Source organism: Homo sapiens, chromosome 4 (genome assembly GCF_000001405.40).
Source record: "Homo sapiens chromosome 4, GRCh38.p14 Primary Assembly".
Lineage (NCBI taxonomy): Eukaryota > Metazoa > Chordata > Mammalia > Primates > Hominidae > Homo > Homo sapiens.
In genome coordinates, this window is record NC_000004.12 from 143,620,908 (window position 1) to 143,641,051 (window position 20,144).

At 38.1% G+C, this 20,144-nt stretch overlaps 1 protein-coding gene across 1 annotated transcript in view; it reads right to left on the reverse strand.

Annotated features, from left to right (window-relative positions):
* The window catches only part of FREM3 (FRAS1 related extracellular matrix 3), a 123,374-nt gene that overhangs the window by 43,606 nt on the left and 59,624 nt on the right, over positions 1–20,144 (reverse strand). Inside the window, exons 3-5 of the mRNA NM_001168235.2 lie at positions 6,707–6,853; positions 3,201–3,431; positions 130–255 (exon numbers count right to left, since the gene is read on the reverse strand). Coding sequence (NP_001161707.1) covers positions 130–255; positions 3,201–3,431; positions 6,707–6,853 — 504 coding nt within the window. The remainder of the gene's footprint in view (positions 1–129; positions 256–3,200; positions 3,432–6,706; positions 6,854–20,144) is intronic.

Below are 20,144 nucleotides of genomic sequence, written 5' to 3' on the forward strand. Positions count from 1 at the left end.
GACAATGAGGGGCCCAGGCATCCAGCATCTTAACTCTGCTTTGCTCACCCTCTGTGGTACTCCCAGCATTACCACAGTCTTGTTCTCATCATCTTATTCCTATGAACAGGACCCCACAGAGCCTCATACCTTGACGTGTGGAGCAAATGACGATTAGTTCCTGGCTTGCATCTCCAGATCGTCTTACTGGAATCAAAAGTTCCCCAATGTCCTCTTCTATTTTGTATTCCGCCTCTGGAATATAAACTGTTGATTCTAGAAAAGATGGCAGAAGACTTTTCACCAAGATTTAGATTTGATCGGTGATATTTAAACACACCTGAGCAGAAATGTACAAAGCCTTTGACTCTTATATTTTCCAACATGATTAACTGTATTAAATATAGTGAGAATGGGAAGCATTATTTATTATTGAGTGGAGCTGGAGAGGCATTGGAATTGGGTTTTAGGAGACCTCTTTTGAAAGGTTAGAAAGGACAGCCAGCATTAAAAAGGAAAACAAAAATCTTGCAGCAATTTCATGTCTTTTTTTTCTTCTGAGATCAAATTTTAAGTCTTCTAAATGGAGATCACATATTTATGTACTTGCTTTACTTTTACTGTTTATTTTTTAATATTTTAACAATCAAGTAATCTAATTCATTAATGAAGAAAACTGTTTTCATGCTTCATTCAACAAACTGCTTATTTAACATTTATTGAGCAGACACTGTGCTGGTCATTTAATATGCTGAGAAAAATAAGCTACAGGTCCTTCCCTCAATTTTAAAGATCATATTGCTGCTGAAATTTACTGAGTTGTGTATATGTGCACACACGTTTGTGTGTGTGTGTATGTGTGTGTGTGCATACACCTAGACATAATCAAAACATTCATTGAAATATCAGTATGAATATTGGTCATGTCTTGTTGATGGGATTATGTGTACTACTTTGGTGGGGAGAGATTTTAGATGTTTTCTAAGGCTTTTTATTAAGCATGCACTGTGCAATTAAAATATAGGTGTTTGTTTACAAAGTTTTAGAGGAGATTGTTCCGACTTATAGTGTGAAGTGGAGAACTGCAGTAACTATCTATGAAACCACATTTAATTTCCTCAGTTCTTTTCTTTATGTTACATATACATGTAGATTCTTCCTCTTAGTGATGCAAGCAAAAAGGGAAAAGATTGTAGGCAATCACCTTTTTTTTTTTTTTTTTGAGGCAGGGTCTTGCTCTGTCACCCAGGCTGGAGGAGTGCAATTTCGTGATCTCAGCTCACTGAAACCTTTGTCTCCCAGGTTCAAGCAACTCTCGTGCCTCAGCCTCCTGAGTAGCTGGGATTACAGGCATGCGCTACCAGGCCTGGTTAAATTTTGTGTTTTTAGTTGAGATGGGGTTTCGCCACATTGGCCAGGCTGGTCTCGAACTCCTGGACTCAAGTGATCTGCCTGCCTCGGCCTCCTAAAGTGCTGGGATTACAGGAATGAGCCACTGCACCCGGCTGGCAATCATCTTTTTTTTTTTTTTTTTTCCCATTTTGGAACTATTACTAAATGATAATTCAGAATTCAATGTTAAATTATCTAGCTATTGTATATTAATTTTTTTCTTCTTTACTTTCCTGCCTACATTAGCTTCAGCAGATATAAGTATCAACCTCCAGGAAGACACTGGCCCTGAGTCACAGGGAGAAAAGACCAGTGATAGTTTTCTTTCCTCCATTTTACCTGTATGGTAGTCTACTATCTTGACACCTTTCGATTCAAAACGTTGGCATCATGGAAGAAGCTAAAAGTAAATTAAAATTATCAATGTCATATGAAAAAATTGATACAATAGGACTAAGTTATTCAGTCATGCCCTCTATTTTTTCCAATCTGGAAAGCCTGTTTCTATCTGCCTTCTAATAAAAATCCCATTTACTTTTCAAGATTCAGCTCAAACCCTGCCTCTTCCATGAGCCTTCATTACTTGGGACCATGATGATCTATGTTCTTCTCCTTGAACTCTTAGTGTTTCTCCCATGTGTCTTACATTTACTTCATAACTGATTCATGTATCAAAGTGTTGTTCTCAACAAAACTGGTCTGATACCTTGTTCATTAGGTGGTGGGGGCAGTGTTTTCTACTTCTTTTGTATCTGCCAAAGTGCAGAGCATATGAACACTACTTCTCAAATTATGTTTTAAGAAAACTGGAACTTAGAGATTTTAAAAGATATTCCTTGGAGATGATGAAAAGAAAATCCACAGTCCAGTTTGGAAAAATTAAACAAAATTAAATGGGTTTCTTTATAGGAGAGTTTCTCAGAATCTTTAATATGCTAACATGAATTATGATGCCTCAAAAGAGGGATGAAATTTGGAATAGTTCCTAGACTTGTTTGATCATGGAAAGCTTTCCATCCCCTGTAGATGTCTATTACACTAACATTCTCTTACGTAGTTCAGAGCACACTAATGCAGGGGATTCTTCATCAAGTCTTGTGGAACTTAAGGCCTGCTCCCTAGTTGTAAGCTATGCACTTCCAGGTGCTACATGACCTCTTTTAACTACTGTGTATAATCAATGTGCTTAATTGAAATTCAAAGATGAATACTAATCCCCCCCCCCCCCCACCATTTAGGGAATATTCTTCTACTTCCAAAAAAAGGGGCAGCAAGCAGCATGATTACTGCTTAGATTTTTTTTCCTTTAAATTTATCTGGGGAGATACTTGCTGAAAGAATGAATACAAAAAACGAACCAATGAATTCAAGGATATTATGTATAATAATAACAGAACTTCAGGGAACACATGTTAAAACAAATGAGTTGGCTGATATCCAGGAGCCACATCTAGGACAATGGATATCTAAGTCCCCATTTGATCTGACTGTGAAAAGATGGTGGCCCTGAAATGAGCCCTGAGGATTAGCCATCTGGGAGCAGAGTTGCTTCGTACCTATGGCGTGCAGAAAGCCTGCAGTAAGGACTTGTATATATATTACAGGAATGCTGATACAGATCCTCTCTATTTTAATCGTCCTGTATTGTCTTTCAAAAATCCTGAGAGCAAATGAAAAATTATTGTCTATAAAGTAATTTACTTCACTTTAAATCCTAAATGGATATGAACGCATTTAGTGGCTTACAGAGCCTGAGGGAAGTATGAATGCTGGAAATGGAGCCAAGAACCTGTACTGGTTAATAAAGCAAATCAATCAGTGTCACATACCATCTCCAGGGTCTACAATTTCAACCGTTGCCATTTCTGGAAACTCCAGTACAGCCATGAGAGGTTCAGACAGAATGATCTGGAAGGTCTCTGAAGTCTCATATTCATTGTCAGGTATAATTCTCACCCTCCATGTGGCTGTAGTCTGTCCAGGATTGAACTGGATCTGTTTATTGGTCTTCCATTTGAAATCTTTGTCTTTTTTTGCAGTTTCATCTTTGGTACCAATGCCTGAATAAAAATCAGAAAACTATAAATATAAAGCCAAGTGACTGAAGGCATAGTCTCCTTTCAAAGTGGTTTCTATTGTTAACAAAAGTAGATAACATAGAAATTGTTTCTTTTAATGCTCCCAAAAGACACTTGTAAATGATCTTTCTTGGCTAAGAGAGTGTAAGTAAGCAGAATTGAATAGAATTGAGAAGAAAACATGGAAGGGGGATTGACAGAAAGAAGAGAACAGAGAGCAATCTTATTTAACTTATTTATTCTAGCACATGTTTATTGAGATCCTTTGATGTGCCAAACTCTGCCAGATGCTGGGGATTCAGAGATGAATAAGAAATTGTCCCAGCCCCCAGAAAGTTCATAGTCTCAAGAGAAAGATACTAGAATATGAGCTCTATGGCGGTAGAGATCTTTGACCGTTGTGTTCACTGATGAATTCCTGGGAATTAGGACAGTGCATGGCAGGTAGTAGGTATTCAATACAAATTTTTGAGTGAATATTTTGTATCTGATAATTTCAATTTCTGCAGCCTTTGGAAGACTGACCCTGAAGGTTGTTTCCTCTTGCTGATTCTTACTCATGGTGGCTTGTTTCCTCATATGTTTAGTGATTTTTTGATTGTAAGAGAACTCTTAGTAATTTTTCAGGCAATTAGTGCAATGTTGGTGAAAATGGAGAGAGGCAAGAGATTTGAGCTCTGTTAGGAAATAGTAATTAGTAACTTACTGAAGATACGAAACAACAACAACAACATCAACAACAACAAAATAGTGTTAAAATACCCAATGTGAGATACAATGGTGAAAAGTGCTACCCCATCAAGACTAAATAGACCTTCCTCTCAACCCAAAGTGTTCAAGCAGCATTCTAATATTGTTTGGTCTTGATTTTAACATACCAAGAAAACAATACCCATGCCTCACCACTTAAGTCCCATTATAAGGGTTAGTTACATTCTGCAGTTGTGTGGATGTGTGAAATCAAATATGGTAACCTGACACCAGCTATGGTGAAAACTTGATATAAAATAAGATTAATAGCCCCCCCATGCAATTCCTTGGCCTCATACTCAAATAATCTGAAACTTGTAAAAGATACCCGAAGCTATAGAGCCTGAAAATAATTTCAAAGGTAGGATAGCTAGTGTTGCCTTTGCAAATCTGCTGAAGAAAGCCTGCATTAATATTAGTTTGGTGACTGAGATTGAATGTCCAATATTTAGGAAGAGCCTCCTTTGGCCACATGTTGGAAGTGGGGAACATAAAAAAGAGTGAATGGTGTCCTCAGCCAAAGCTTAGGTAGAGCTAAGTGGAGCTGCTATAGGAATGAAGCAGGCACATGGTGATTTACTTAATGTTTGATGAACATTGTCTCTGTGTGAGGTGCTGAGGATGTCACACAGAATTAGGCACAGCCACCACTACCCTCAAGAGGTTTTCAATTTTGGGAGAGGCAAACAGATAAACAGGTGATTTTAATTGTGTTTGATGAGTGCCACAGAATGGTATTTATCACTTCTTGAGCATTGGCGGTATGCCAAGAACTGTGCTAGATTGATTTATAATCATTATTACGAATTCCCCTCAAACACATCGTGAGATGGATAATTTACTTACACATAAGGAAACTGAACTCTTTTGAAAGTCACAAAAAAGAGTAAGTGACAGAGCAGGAAGTCGAACTCCACCATTTTGTTTCTTTTTTCTTCTGGATCCTGTGGTTCGACTATTAGCCTGGGGTGGAGTTGGGGTATCAGAAGGACTTTCTGGAGTGTCTGATTGAGATGGTTTAGAGGTTCCTGTCTGTGATGTTGAGTAGTATTGTGATTTTAAAGAGTACTTACGGAACAGAAGGGCTGGCTGTAGTTTACTTAACAACAAATATTGGTGACTACCATATGCCCCATGCTGTTCTTGAGGTTGGACATAACCCAAGATGTAGTTCCTGACCTTATAAAGCTGAAATCTACTTGGGAAGACAAATAGACACATGATCCATGCCAATTATGGTAAGTGCTGTGAAGAACCATACAGCAGTGCATGTAGATAGAGTATGGCAGGGGTGCTGGTTTGGACAGGGTGGCCAGAAGGATTTCCAAAGGGTTCAGTTAGGGCAAACATTCAAATGGTTCTGAGCAGATGAACTTTTTTTTCTTGGGTCAGGATACAAATATCCTTCTTGACATTTTAACCCAAACTCACAAGAAAGCCTTGAGATAAAGAATTGTGGAAGTAGGGCCTGACAAGAGGAGGGAGGCATATTTCAGCTGACATTCCTGGCAGCGAGTTCCACCATGTGTTGATGTAGTAACCTGGAATGTAGGCCGAGGCTGAGGGCCACCCAGAAGTCAGGGTGCTCTTTGGCTGACCCCTTCTCCTAGGAGAACAGTCCTATTTTAGGAGCTCTGGGCCTGGAGCAGAGACTAGGGAAAGCTTCCCTTTCCTTGATTGCTTGTTTTCTCTCCAGCTCATTTCTTCCCTGGCTTCTCTCCAACAGTTTTGATATACTGCCTCGGCTCTGAGTGGGGTCCTGCATGTCGAGGAAACTCAATGCTTATTTGTAAAATGAAGACAATATAACCCTATCTGTCTTCTTAATAGATTATGTAAATAAAGGCAAAATGATTTCTGAAAGTTCTGGCAGCTAAAGATGTTATGAAAATACAATGCCTTATTAGAACAACTACTGTTAATTGTTAATGATGATAATCAGATATAGTATACCGGCATTATGTATGTGTTTACTCCAAGAAAACATATTTCTGTACTAGGTCCTTGTAGAACATAAAGAAATTTGACACCGTACATGTCCTCAAGGAATTTATAACCTACTAGCAAGGTTAAAACAATTATACATAATCAAAAGAAATATATAGAACTAAACACAGTAATGGATCATGTACTCATAAATAATTTTTCAAAAGAAATAGCTAAAAATATATGCTTAAAACAACTTTTAAGGAAATTGAGTGACTTGAAGATTGTGGGATGGCTATGAAGTGTCTTAATTTTCCTGGAGACTGGTGAGTTATAAAAGAGAGAAAGATGTAACTTGCTAGAAAGAGGAAAACAGGGGAAAGATGATAAAAATTGATACATATCTAAGCCCCATAACTCACATGGAGCAAAAACCACGGCACATTTTCACAGACACTTTTTTAGAGATTTCTCCAAACCAGTTCTTTATTCTCTTTCAGTATACTTTCTTGTAATTATTTTTAGTCCCAGATTTCATGTTTCCATGACCTTTTACCAACAACCAATCCAAAGTTACTTACTGATAAATGATGTTTCTCCAAGGTATCCTCTGCGTGTAAGGGTCACTTCTAAGAATGTGGAATCTTCATCCACAATGTAGTACTCTTTCTCCAAACAAATCCAAGCCCAGTTTAGATGGAAAGGCTGATTTGTTAGTTTATTTCCTCCTGCAATTGATAGGGGCAAAGGAAAAGTCAGCTGGAGTATTTGATGGCAATATTCAATGATCAATGTGTGCATTTTACTTCTGAAACCAAGGGTTTCAAAACATACTCGTTTTATTTTATTTTATTTTTTTGGTAGAGAGAGGAAATGTTGTTTGCTTTTCTAGAGGATGTCATGAGTGGCATCTTAAGCCCTATTCCTCCTGCTTAATCTGGAGGGAGCCAGGTGCCTCCTATTCCCAAAGGGTCTTGTGCATCAGGGTTCCAAAGAGCCAGAGCTTGGTAGTTTTAAATTCAGGTCATACTCAACACCTCTATCGTTTCCTCCCTGCCTGTTGTCTTCACTTTCACTCCCTCTGCCTCCTCCATTTTTTCTCTGCCCTTACTTACTCCTTTATATTATTTGAGCATCCATTTGATCTCATATTAGTCTGGAAGTTCCTTGAAGGCAATACCAACATTATATTTACCTATTTTATCACTTTCAGGACATAGTATGATGTATTGAACTTATACACTCTAATGTTTAAAAACTACCCATGAAGAGGACAATAGACAAGGGATATAAGGGCTCTATCTTATTTCCTCTTGTCCACACCGAGTCACTGGCCTCTTTCTGAAAGATCAACCCAGCCCCTTATTGTGGCTGTGTAATGTTTGTGTATTGGTAGCAAGAGAAGGTCTCCCTAATCTGGGGAGTGGTTGCTACAAATAATCACCCGTGAAAAGATGTTGAAGTAGAAGTCTTTATGACTGAGTTTCAACTGATGGGCCAATATGATAGATACCAGATACCAAAGTGACTGTGTATGAACTTTACCAAATACAGCTTTACTAACCAGTTCCACAGTTACTGGACCCCTTAATGAGATCAAGCATATCAAAATGGGGCAGTGTGTGGACTAGAAAGAAGAATTTGTGAAGAGAGTACTTTAGAAAAAGCTGATGCCATGGTGGAAATCCCTATTATCACCAAAAAGGGTATGGGTATGAGATGGGGCTACAGCCTTGACCTCCAGCCTACAGGGCTTCAGTGAACCTCCTGGAGAGCTTGACATCTCCTTCTATAGTTGGAGTCCATGTGACTTACTCATTTCCAAAAAAGATTGGCAGGGTAAAGGAGTGAGTGGAGAGCGCTGCATTGGGAAGCAGTCGAGTAGCTTTGAAGAGCAGGACAAAGAAAGCAGGTATATGGACTAGAGGTGGGTCATCTGTCCAGTAGGGCCAGTTAAGGAGGCAACAGGGTTTCCACAGAAAGGAAGCTGGGAGCCAACCACCAGATTCCCGTGGGTTGCACAGGCGGTAAGAGACAAGGAGGCTCTAAAGATAGGAATCTTCAAGGAACCCATGAAAACACCAAGTAAGGAAGGGGTCCCCTTTAAAGAGCTGCCACCCAGGGACCTCCAACAGCAGATGGCAATGATACTTTCTATACCAGACTGTGCTCTGCCTACCTTATCTCCTCTCTTTCTAGAGTCAACCTTGGAAGAGCAATACCTTGCTAGTAAGTAAAGGGAACCATGAGCATGGAAAGAGGGAAGCTGGCCTCAGCCCTCCTTCGCACTGCAGGTTCTGATCTATAGTTGCAAAGAAGGATCAGTAGAAAACAAGCACTGAGATTTAATCCTACTTGGGCTTAAAGGAACTCACTGATGTGTAATTGCAAGATAAATGCATATGTTGATTTTCATGTTTACTCTCTATAGTTTTCTCTCTCTTTAAAAAATAACATTATTGATACTATTGTGGATATTCTGATAAATACAGAAAAATACAAGACAAAAGCGCTCAAAATCCTACTGCTATTTTTTAAAAACCATATTTTTTACAGTTTGAAAACACTTTAATTATTCATGTATGTAGTCCTTTAGATTTTGAAATCCCATGTCATGACAATAGTTTATATTTACTTTTTTTGTGTCTTTTTCATAGTTCTTTTATATACTGTCACATGTTTTATTCTACAAACCCATTACAGAGTATGGCAAATATTAATCTCAATTTATAACTGGACAGTTTCAGGAGGATGAGGCAATTTGACCAGGTCCCCACAGGTGAGTGGTGAGGCCAGTTTTGCAGTCTGCTAGTCCAGTGCTCTGTCTTTCACTCTGAGCTGCCATTCCTGTGGGTTAGAGATCAATGCAACACAAACGCTTCAAAAGCAAAGTAGGAAAAATCTATTGCAGATCAGACCCTCTGAATAAAAACATGCACAGTGAGAAGGGTTTAACAATTAGAGACAGATACACCTCCAGATTCCAAACAGCTAATTTGTAGTCTTGTGATGAAGAGCATAGACTCCTGAGTCACATGGACCCAGGTTCTGGGCCTGCCACTTATGAGCCATTTGATCATGAACAAATTATGGATCTTCAGTTTCTTCATCTGTAAATGTGATAATAGCATTATGTGCTCAATAGGATTGTTGTGAGAATCAAAGAAAATAATGCTACCAAATGACCGGCACAAATTAGGTGCTCAATAAATGTGGGTTCTTATCATCATGGTTTTAAAACAGCATAAGATTAATTTACACTAGGCTATATTGCTGCTTTTGACTTTGCTTTCACTACTGACTGGTTAATACATCTTTTAAAAAGTGGCTAGTTTCATAGGAACAGCCTGTGTTAGAACTTTGAACTCCTCTTTTATTTTAACATTTTTCTTTTTAAAGCACTTTCTTGTCACATTTCATATTCCTTTGCAATCTGCCTATATTTTGCCTGCCCCCATACCAGACAACACTATTGTTACTATTTTGTTGAAATTTTAGTATGCCTTGAGCAAGATAAGAAAATATGAAAGCATCATCCTCTTCAAGCATGAGCTCCTTAGTCACTGTAACCTGACATCACCGGCTAATCAATGCTTTCTGTGACCACATGCTTGCTGTTAGGCACCATATCAATTCACTTTCTAGAGAAATGAGAAAGACAAACATGGTCTGGGATAAATAAGAAATATTCTGTGTTTCAAAACATTTAAAGGGAACCTACTTTAAACCAAGTATGTTAGGAGAAAGAGGCTGGTAGGAATTGTTTCTAGTTCTAGATGAATCCAAGAAGGTGAAGTCCATCTACAGATGTTTTAAAGCCCTATTTATTAATATTCCTTAATAAAATTAACCTTAGAAATAGGGAAGTAAATAGCTAAGTAACAACTCAATGGGGTTTTGGCCTAAAGATACCAGTGGCTAAAATGCAGTAAGTACATGTATTGGCCAGAAAAAAGACTGTCCATCAGAAGTCAAAATAATGGTGATGATAGAGCAGAAGAGAGTTTTCATTAAAGTATTTTCTCTTTCCCTTCTCTATGAAGCAACACAAATCAGAGATAAATGGCTCCCTGGTGTATTGGTCATATCCTACAAATTGATCCCAAATACCAACTTCTTGTTATCTGCTAAAAAGGTTCTTTTATTCCAATTAAATGTGAATTTGTGCCAAAGACAATATTATTTGATTCTGGGGCTGGCTTAGTTCCTAATGCTTAAATCTTGAAGGAGCTACCATTGCAATTTCCAGTTTACTACAGGAATAAACATCCAGAAAAGTTGTGTTATTATAATGCTGTATTTATTTATTTATTTATTTATTTATTTGTTTATACAGAGTCTTGCTTTGTCACCTAGGCTGGAGTGCGGTAGCACCGTCTCAGCTCACTGTAACCTCCACCTCCCAGGTTCAAGTGATTCTCCTGCCTCAGCCTCCTGAGTAACTGAGATTACAGGCAAACATTACAATGCCTGGCTAATTCTAAATAGTAGAGATAATATCTATACATTTTTATTTCCCTAGTGTGTGCATTGACCTTCAGGATTCTCTAATCCAACTAGAAAATAAGACGTGTATATGAAACTGTTAAATTACAACACAAGGGCAATATGATTGTGGATAGAAATGAATGGAGCAAAACAAGTAGAAAGGAAGACTTCCTGGGATGACTGGGCTGGGAGAGATGGGTAGAATTCTCTTTGCAGAGAAGGAGGGGCCATTTTAATATGGAGGGAGAAGAAGGTAGACTTAGGGGAAGCAGACTGAAGGAAACTTACAAGGGCATGGTACATTCTTAAAAATTTGTAATGGTATTCTTTAGTAAAACGTACTGTTTCTAAGGCATGACCAGACTACTTCAGAATGAATTCAGGAAGATTTCTGATTGTCAAAATACTTATGTGCATTTACCACAAAAAGAGTAATTCTGATAACCTAAAAACATTTCAGGCACCCTTTCAGTTCCTTTGGCTTGACAATTATAATAAAAAATGTGTTAATGCACTCCAGAATTCTCTTGTAGATCTAAGTTATAGTCTAGGTTTTTGAAGGATGATTGATGAAAAGTTACAATTAATTAATTAAGCCATCCATTCAGTTATTCCACCAATATTTATTGAATACCTGTTATATGCTATTGACTCTTCTAAGTGTTGAGGATAGAACAGTGAAATCAAAAAAATCCTTGTTCTTGTGTAGCTTACTTTCCAGTGGGCCAATAAGCAAATAATGTATAATATAGTTGATGGTGAAAGTGCTATGCAAAAATCAGGATAGTTGGATAAAGCATAACTGGGAGAATCAGAAGGTAATAGTTTATATAGAGTGGTTAGAAAAGGCTTTCCTAAAGGGGTGATATTTGATAAGAGATTGGGGGAAAGAATATTTCAGGCAGAGGGAAAACAAGCACAAAAATAAATATGTCCATATTTTAAAAGTAATCAATATTCTGTCATGGTCAAAGGCTACTTGGTCTCCATTCCCTTCGGGTGCCCTTTTTATTCCTATCAATCAGTACCTATCAATCAGTACTTAAGAAGGTGGTCTGGCTTTTTCAGGCCAGTAGTATTCATTAGGGACATTTAGTTAATATGATTTTGTTTTGTAACTATTCTGCAGCTTTTGAACTCCCTGTCCATATTTGGAGGATTTGGGATTTGATGAGTCCCTCACCTATAGCAGGAATGTCCAATCTTTTGGCTTCCCTGGGCCACATTGGAGGAAGAAGAATTATCTTAGGTCATACATAAAATACACTACATAACAATAGTTGATGAGCTAAAAAAAAAATCCAAAAACCTCATAATGTTTTAAGAAAGTTTACGAATTTGTGTTGAACCACATTCAAAGCCATCCTGGGCTGCATGTAGCCCACAGGCCATGGGTTGGACAAGCTTGACCTACAGGAAGGAATTAGAAAATATCATTTTGCAGCCTCTCTTACAGCTAGGGCATAAGCTTGTCACTTAGGCTTTGCCAATGTAGCTTGAGACTTTGATTTAAAAGTGTACAATGTGAGGAGGCTGCAGGTCAACTGCATAGAGTCCATATTTTGGTGAGGGTTGCAGTGGAGGCACTTGGTTTTCATGGGCATTGGTAGCAGAGATCTAGTGTCCAGTGACAACTGTACCTAGTGGCAACGGTCATCCACAGAGTGCTGTTGGCATTCTTTCTAGCTGCATGTCCTGTCATTCTGTCTCTCTGGCATCCTAGAGATACTACTAAAGCTTATCACTATGCCATAATATATTTGTTTATTTAAATAGCAATGATATTTAATAGGACTTAAATAGCAATGGTAGGTTTGCAACTAGGAAAATTCTCTTGTAGATCTAACTATATTCTAGGTTTCTGAAGGATGATTTATGAAATATTACAGTTAACTAAGCCATCCATTCAATTATTGCATAAATATTTATTGATCACCTGGTATATGCTGTTCCCTCTTCTAAGTGTTGAGGATAGAACAATGAAAACAACAAAATCCCACAGCAATGAACTTGTTTTTGTCTTGTTGTGTTTGTAAAGGAATAAGAAGACATTGAATAGTGAAGGTGAAAATGATTAGCATAACGCCTGGCATGCAGTAGGCACTCAAGACACTGGGTACATTAAAGCTATATTAATATTGATGCAATGCACACATTTTAATGGACATGTAGGAGAAAATAAGTACAAATTGGTGTTTTGGAATGCATAAATCAATTACATACAGAGAACTGATTATTTGCTCATTTACACAATATATAATTACTTTGAAGTCAAACCGTACATCAGGCACAATCCTAAGCGTCGCAGATAAAAAGACATGTCAGGTATGGGCTCTTCAGAGAGGATATTGACAGGCTTCATGAAATAATAAGAGCTTAAGCATTAAAACAGTGACAGTGGAAAGGGAAAAGATGGGTTAAAGAAAAATGAAGGAAGAACCATCAGGCTGTAGGAGATGACTAGCTCTGAGAGTTATGGGGACTGTAAAAAAAATGACTCACAGAGCCCAAACAGGGCAGCTGGAGGAGTTGTGTAGGTATAGTAGTACAGCAGTATAGATATAGCAATAGCTGATTTAGAGAAGCCAGGAAGGAAGGTAGCTTGGGAGTTTGGTTTTAATTTGGCTTTGATGTGATGATAAGAAGCCCAAGTACAAAAACTCATCAGATATTTGGATATATGGGACAAAGGTTTGGGGACAGCCAAAGGCAAGACACGTAAATTCAGGAGTAATTATTATGCAGGGAGTTTCTGAGAGAGAGGTTTAAAGTTGGGTTTCTGAAAGTTTAACAATAGAGAGCTAAATATATATTGTACAATCTTTGTATTTTGTTAGGCATTACTCTCAAATGATCTAGGCAATTGTGGAGTTGGATAAGAAGATTTATAGCTAGTGGGACCCCAGCGGCTTATCTGACATAAGATACCCCAGGGGCTCTGAGTTAGCTGATTCAGCCATCACCCTTTTTCACCCTCTCTCAGACCTGCTACTGGGGTATTGATGGACAGCTGGCCACCCCTGGACTTTGAAGCTCCAAGCCAGAAGCAAGATGGAGGAAAGGGCTTCGTCTTCATGACACATCCTGCCTCCTCATGTGTGGCTCCGACTGAGAGTCCCCTTCTGGCTGTGCATAATCACTTGCTGGAGAAAGGGTGTGAGGGGAAGGAAATGAAATATTAGAAAGGGAGAAGCTGGGCTGGGCCAGGGAAACTGCTAAGACGAAGGCTCGTTGTGTGAGGGTCAGTTACAGGCTCCCTGACTTCTGAAGTCAGGGAATTGTGAGGGGGTGTGGGATTCTGAAGTCAGGAAATTGTGAGGAGGTGTGGGATGAGGGGATGTCACTGTGGTCCTTCCAAATGGAGGCCAGAGAGATCATTGCCTAGACCTTAGCTATGCCCCCACAGGCTTCAGTTGGGAGAACTCAACTTCCTCCCTCAGACCTAGCAGCAGGCAGTCAGCCAGATGATGCATTAACAATTGTATTCTGTGTGTGAGAGGTGGTTTACTGTGTAATAAATAAGAGTGCAGATTCTGGACTGTATGAAAACCCAATTTATGTAAGTCAGGGACTTTGTGTAGCTGACACTATGTACTTCAATGAGGGAGACACTGTAGAAAAAGAGAACCAAGAACTAAACTTTGGGGACAGTTTCATTTGGAAACCAGTGAAGAAAAAGAAATCAGTTACAAAATAGAGAATAAGAAATATTTGAATTAGTTTTATCACAATGTGGAAGTCTGGTATAAAATGATCACCTAGAAGTAAAAAAGAATAGCTTGAAGCATAAGTATAATTTTCACATCAAAGCATGACACTTTGTTATTTGCTATATTAAGCTGTTGTAGCTACGTATGTAGTTATACTCTAGTGCATGATTTTCCATCTCAGTACTACTGACATTATGGGCTAGATAATTCCTTTGTGATGGTAGCCCTGTGCATTGCAGAATGCTCAGCAACCTCCCTGGCCTTTACCTCCTAGATACCAACAGCATTCCCTCCCTGCTCCTCCTCATCCTCAATTGTGACAATCAAAACTATCTTCGGACATTGCCAAATGTCCCCTGGGGGGAAATCACCACTGATTAAGAACTACTGGTGTAGGTGAAATGAAATAATTTTACTGAATCTGATACAAATCTTCATATATCTCACATGACTGTGTTTTAGAAGAATGATAAAACATTTTAGATTTGAATTTGGCGTAGATAATCAAACACTCTCTATTGAATTCAAAAGGTAGTCTTAGCATTGCCTAAATTAATCCAAGGAAAATCATAATATAAAACTGTTTTCCATGTGAGAAAATCAGAGTTTACAAGTCATGAAGAAGAGCTATTTAGTGGGGTTTGATTTACCATCACACTTTTTTCAGACAGTATTTTGAAGTGGAAGCATCAGGTTGTCAGGTTCAGTTGGCAAGACCTGACACTGTTCACTCACACAGTAGCTCTCTGGCCTTAGGCAACTTCTCATCTGCTCCCTCATCTATAAAGTGGGGGTAAAGAGGTGCAAAGAAACATTGTGTGTGAGAGACCTCAGAAGTAGGGGAGTGCAGGACAAATATCATCTTTATAACTTAAGCTTTTATTATTAAATTCCTTTCTTCACATCATAAAACAGTAGAAAACATTGTTTTTGTTTTTTTTTTTAAACTACATAGAATAAAATTGATGTCCTAATGTTCTAAAGAAAAAAAAAGAAAGGAAAACATATAACCTCATACTGGGAAATGAGAGTAAAGAGGGACCAACATGCACCAGATGCCCATTACGAGGTAAATATTGGGCTGGGCACTGTGCAGCCTGTCCAAAAAAAAAAAAAAAAAAAAGACATGGAGAGATGGTCAAGCTGAAGGAGACAGGAATCAGTAGAAAGGCTCTGATAGGACCAGCCAGTACAAGAAAATGATTTGAGTGCACAGTAAAGTGAAGAAAAATAGAAATCTGAGGAATAGGAATGGCTTAGAAAGTGACTATTAAAGTAATAATAGAGAAAAACATCCAACTGCAGAATTTTTAACTTATCAAAATGTGAAGAGCATAATGGCATTTATGTTTTCACAATTATTTCCCATTAGGTTAAAAAATATGGGAAAAAGACATCAAGTATTTTACCTAAATACTATATTTAGGAAGATTTAATTTTGATATAACTTAATTACTAATTCTAATTTCTAATATAATCTCCTCTTTTAAAAGTGCAATAATTTGAAAAATAAACACAAAAATAAAAACAAAATAAAAAGATTATATACCACTAAATAAATTTTGAAAATGCATTTAATAAATGCTGACTCTCAAATAGGTAAAGTCATTTACCAAATGATAAAGTGGCAGCCACTGTCAAATGTTAAATGTTTATGACTTAAACTTGGAAAAAATTTTAGTTGACTAGGATATTCTATCTTGAGTGCTTAATAACTTAAAGAAAAATTAATATTATATATGCTTATGTTTTCTAATACTTCATAACATTTTCAAATAGCTTCATTGTCATAAGCATTTAGCTTCTACAGCTCACACCATAATGTAGTTTTAAAGTGTATTTGAATTCCATAAGCACCCATTCATCATGCATTTGGAAACAATACCTTTACTTAGCAATTGTCACATAGTGTCAGTTAGTATCATTGTCATTTGGAAAATGCTTCACAGTGAGAAATGTGTTACTCTGACTTGTGACTTCACATGCACAGCTCCAGTTACATGTCTACAGATGATAAATATAATGGTCTTTTTTTCCAATAGAACTATAAATTTAAGGAAAAGAAAGTAACTTGGAATAGAAGAATTGGCAGATTAGGTAACAGAAAAAGCCAAACTGCATGTCAGCTAGGTCTCCATTTTCTTCCTCTGGCTATCTCCCATGTTCCTGGAGCTGTTGGTAGCAATTTCAAAAATGTGTCTTATTGGTTGAAATTTGCCATATTCCCTTCCCAAATAAGGGTATTATTCCACTTGATTGTCCAGTTCCATTTCTCAGGCTTTTGCTTAATTCACTTCTATTTATTCAACTGTTCACCGGGTCTCCCTGATTGTGCCCTCTTAGTGCTTCAGGGTGCCACCACTCACATCCTGGAGCTTGGAGGGACAGGTGGCTCTCTTTTTGGAGACTGCAACATTACAGGCTCATATCCATTCTCTTCTTGAGGAACAATAGGCTATTTTGTGCAACCGTACAAAATAACCCATAGGTTTTTCAGAAAAGAGGGAAAAAACCAAAAGAACAACAAAGATATGAGATTTATGTGGTCCTTTTCCTAGTTGTATTCTCCTAAGCCGCAGAGATGCCACTCACAGACAATGCTCTTAAATCCACCTCTGCAATCTTTGGACATGTGGGGCAGGTGGTGGAGGGAGAGGTCTTTGTGCTCACATGGTTGGTGGGTGGGGAGAGAAGAAGGTGGCAGGTGTCAAGACTGCTAGCTCTAATTCTGTTCACTGAGAGGTGTTTGGTGTATTCTTTTTGGAGATGTACCCAAACTGTCTTGATGATATATTTGGCTCTCCGTTTTGGAGAATAAAAACCCAATATGTCATGCTATGTATAACAATACAAGTTTTCGTGCCCTTTTTCTCCTTCTTAAATTAGTGTTCTTCAATATAAGGACAGCGGAAACAGTGTGAAATAATAAAGACCACAAGCTTTTCTTAGATTCTTTTGCATGCCTCAACAGGGACACCACATTCTGCTTTTGACACAAAATAAAATTACCCAAAGAAGTCTCAAAGCAAGACATTAGAGAGTTTTTAAAAACGATTATATTAGCAGAAGCTTTCAATTAGTAGCAAAGTGGAAATACACTGCGTGCCCACATGGGCCATCTCTTTTTGGGAGTTGAGGCTCCACATGGCTTAACTGGAAGGCAGAAAACATTGTACCTTCTCAGGAGCATACAAGATTTAAGGAGGAGGTTGAAACAAACTCTTTATTCCAGAGAAAACAATATAATATAATGTAATATGATATAGTTAATATAGCAACTTATTTAGAGATAAAAAGAATCATGCTCATTTTCGGATACGATCTTGAGTCCAGAGCAAGTGACTGTGAACTTTCATGTACTGAACTAGAGGGTCCTCTTCTCCTTTTGAATCTCACTCTATTTTCTTGTCCTTCCCCATTGGCGGTAAAGACTATGTTTGATCCCTATGCTCTAGGGCCAGGGACACCAGAGTTTGCTGTGTCCTTACCAATCTACCAATTAAACATACTGTCCAGAACATAGTCTTGATTTATCATTATTGAGAAGACACAGATACAGAGTATTGTGACTCTGCGTAGTAGACTAAACAGGGCTCTGAGGCAGCAAAAGGAAATGTGGCCATCAGCATCACAGAGAGCTCATGACTGCCCAGGTGAGTGCCACACCCAAGTACATCATCTGCCCTTAGTATCACTTATTTCATAGTCGATCTTGTGATTGCTGTGTGAAATAATTTACATTTGCTTCCAAAATATTAATTTGGTAGTATCTTAAATTTTTTCTTCTGGTGATTCTTCCTTTTTGTGCTATGTAAGGATCCTTCTGTGTTGTTATAAGGATCAAATATGAAGATAGATGTGGAAGTTTTAGAAAACAGAATTTTCCTAAACCTAAGTTTGCAGAGTTTTCAGTAAGAAGAGAACAGTTCTTCACCCGCAGAAATCATAGAAGGAGATAGTATTTGGGAGGGAATCAGCAGGGTGAGTCCTTCTGTTAGATTGATCCAGAGGAAATTGTTATTTTCTTCAGGTCAAAAATGGGTGAATGTTCAGAAATTTCAAATAGTTCAACTTGACATACGGGCAGTGTCAGCATGTCGTGGGAACAGAACTGGACTGAGTGAGGAGATCTGGGCTGGAGTCTTGGCAACACCGCTAACTAAAGGTGTGGCCCTGGGTGAATCACTTACTTCGCAGGGCATCGTTTCCCCATCCCTCAGATGAGGGAGTGGAATTAGGACCTTTCTGAGTTCCTTTTCAGGTTTAACGTTCTGTGATTCTTTCTGCCCCCCTTAGCATGTGGCACCATTACAGCAATCCAGAAAACAGATTAACTTATTATGTCTCATTTTGGACAAATAATAATATCACTCAGCAAAAGTTGTTGTAACTTGATATATTAAGTGAGCTTTAAGCTCCCTGGAGGTCTAAGCTGTGTGAGGAGGGTGAATTCCCTAGAAGGCATACAAACTGTCTGGGAACAGAAGTGCACTGGCAAATCTAGAGGTGTAATCTTAACATTGACTGCATATTATCACCAAGTCTTTTCATATCCATTATCTCATGTGCAAATCCAATCCTTACAACAACTTTCAAGAGTGGGAACAGTCATACTTGATATTTGACAAATGGAGTACCTGCAGTTTAGTAACTGTGCCTTTCTTGAGGTCACAGTGCTAGTAAAAAAAAAATGTAAAAATAGGCAAAGCTCTCTACAGTCTGGATCCTTTCTACCTCTCCATCGTCTCCTACCTCTCTTACTGACTTTGGAGCACACAGGCCAGCGATACCAAGTTCTCATGCTGTTTCACATCTCTGAAAACTCTTATTCATCCTTGAAGGCCCTGTTTGAATGTTGCTTCTTAATGAAGCTTCCATGGGTAATGGTTTGTCTCTGCTACCCTTGCACATACTTCCTTTTTGCACCTCTCAGGGTACTGCAGTTGATTGTCTACATGTCAGTCTCTTTCCAGATTTGGAGCTGATTGCTCCAAATTACTCCAAGTGTCTTTTCACTTTGGAGTCCCTAGCACACAAGCACAGTTCCTGGCAATTAACAGGGGCTTAATCAATACCTGTTGAATGACAATGCTTTCTGGAGAAAAAAATGACCTAAATGTAGACTCAAAGAAGAATAGAATGAGCACTGCTAATAATTCAACCCATGTATAGTTTGTAAATGTATTACTTTAGTTATCTTGTTACATAACTATGTAGATAATGGGTTAAAAATTTCTGGTAACTAGCCTGACCAACATGGAGAAACCCTGTCTCTACTAAAAATACAAAATTAGCTGGGCGTGGTGACACATGCCTGTAATCCCAGCTACTCAGGAGGTTGAGGCAGGAGAATCACTTGAACCCAGGAGGTGGAGGTTGTGGTGAGCTGAGATCGTGCCATTGCACTCCAGCCTGGGCAACAAGAGTAAAACTTCATCTCAAAAGAAAGAATTTTAGTAATATAATATAAAGCCATTTTTTTTTCTAGTTAGCAACAGAACCAGTACCTATAGTCAGGCTTTTAGATTCTTAGCTTAGAGCTTCCATAAAATACTGTATGTACAGCCAGGCTGTGAACCAATCTTTAAGTTATGAGGGTCTTATTCTAGAGCAATCTTTAAAAAAATGATAAAAATGACTTACATGTCCGTAGTATATATTATTTAACTTTTTATTCAAAATCTAGCATTCTCATGTTCTATAAATTGATCATGTTACATTGGTCATATAGAGTTGTACTTGATTGGCATTAAAATTAGATAGTATAATAAATAAAAACAAATATTTCCTGAAAGCCATAATGCACTGTACATCTTAGAAA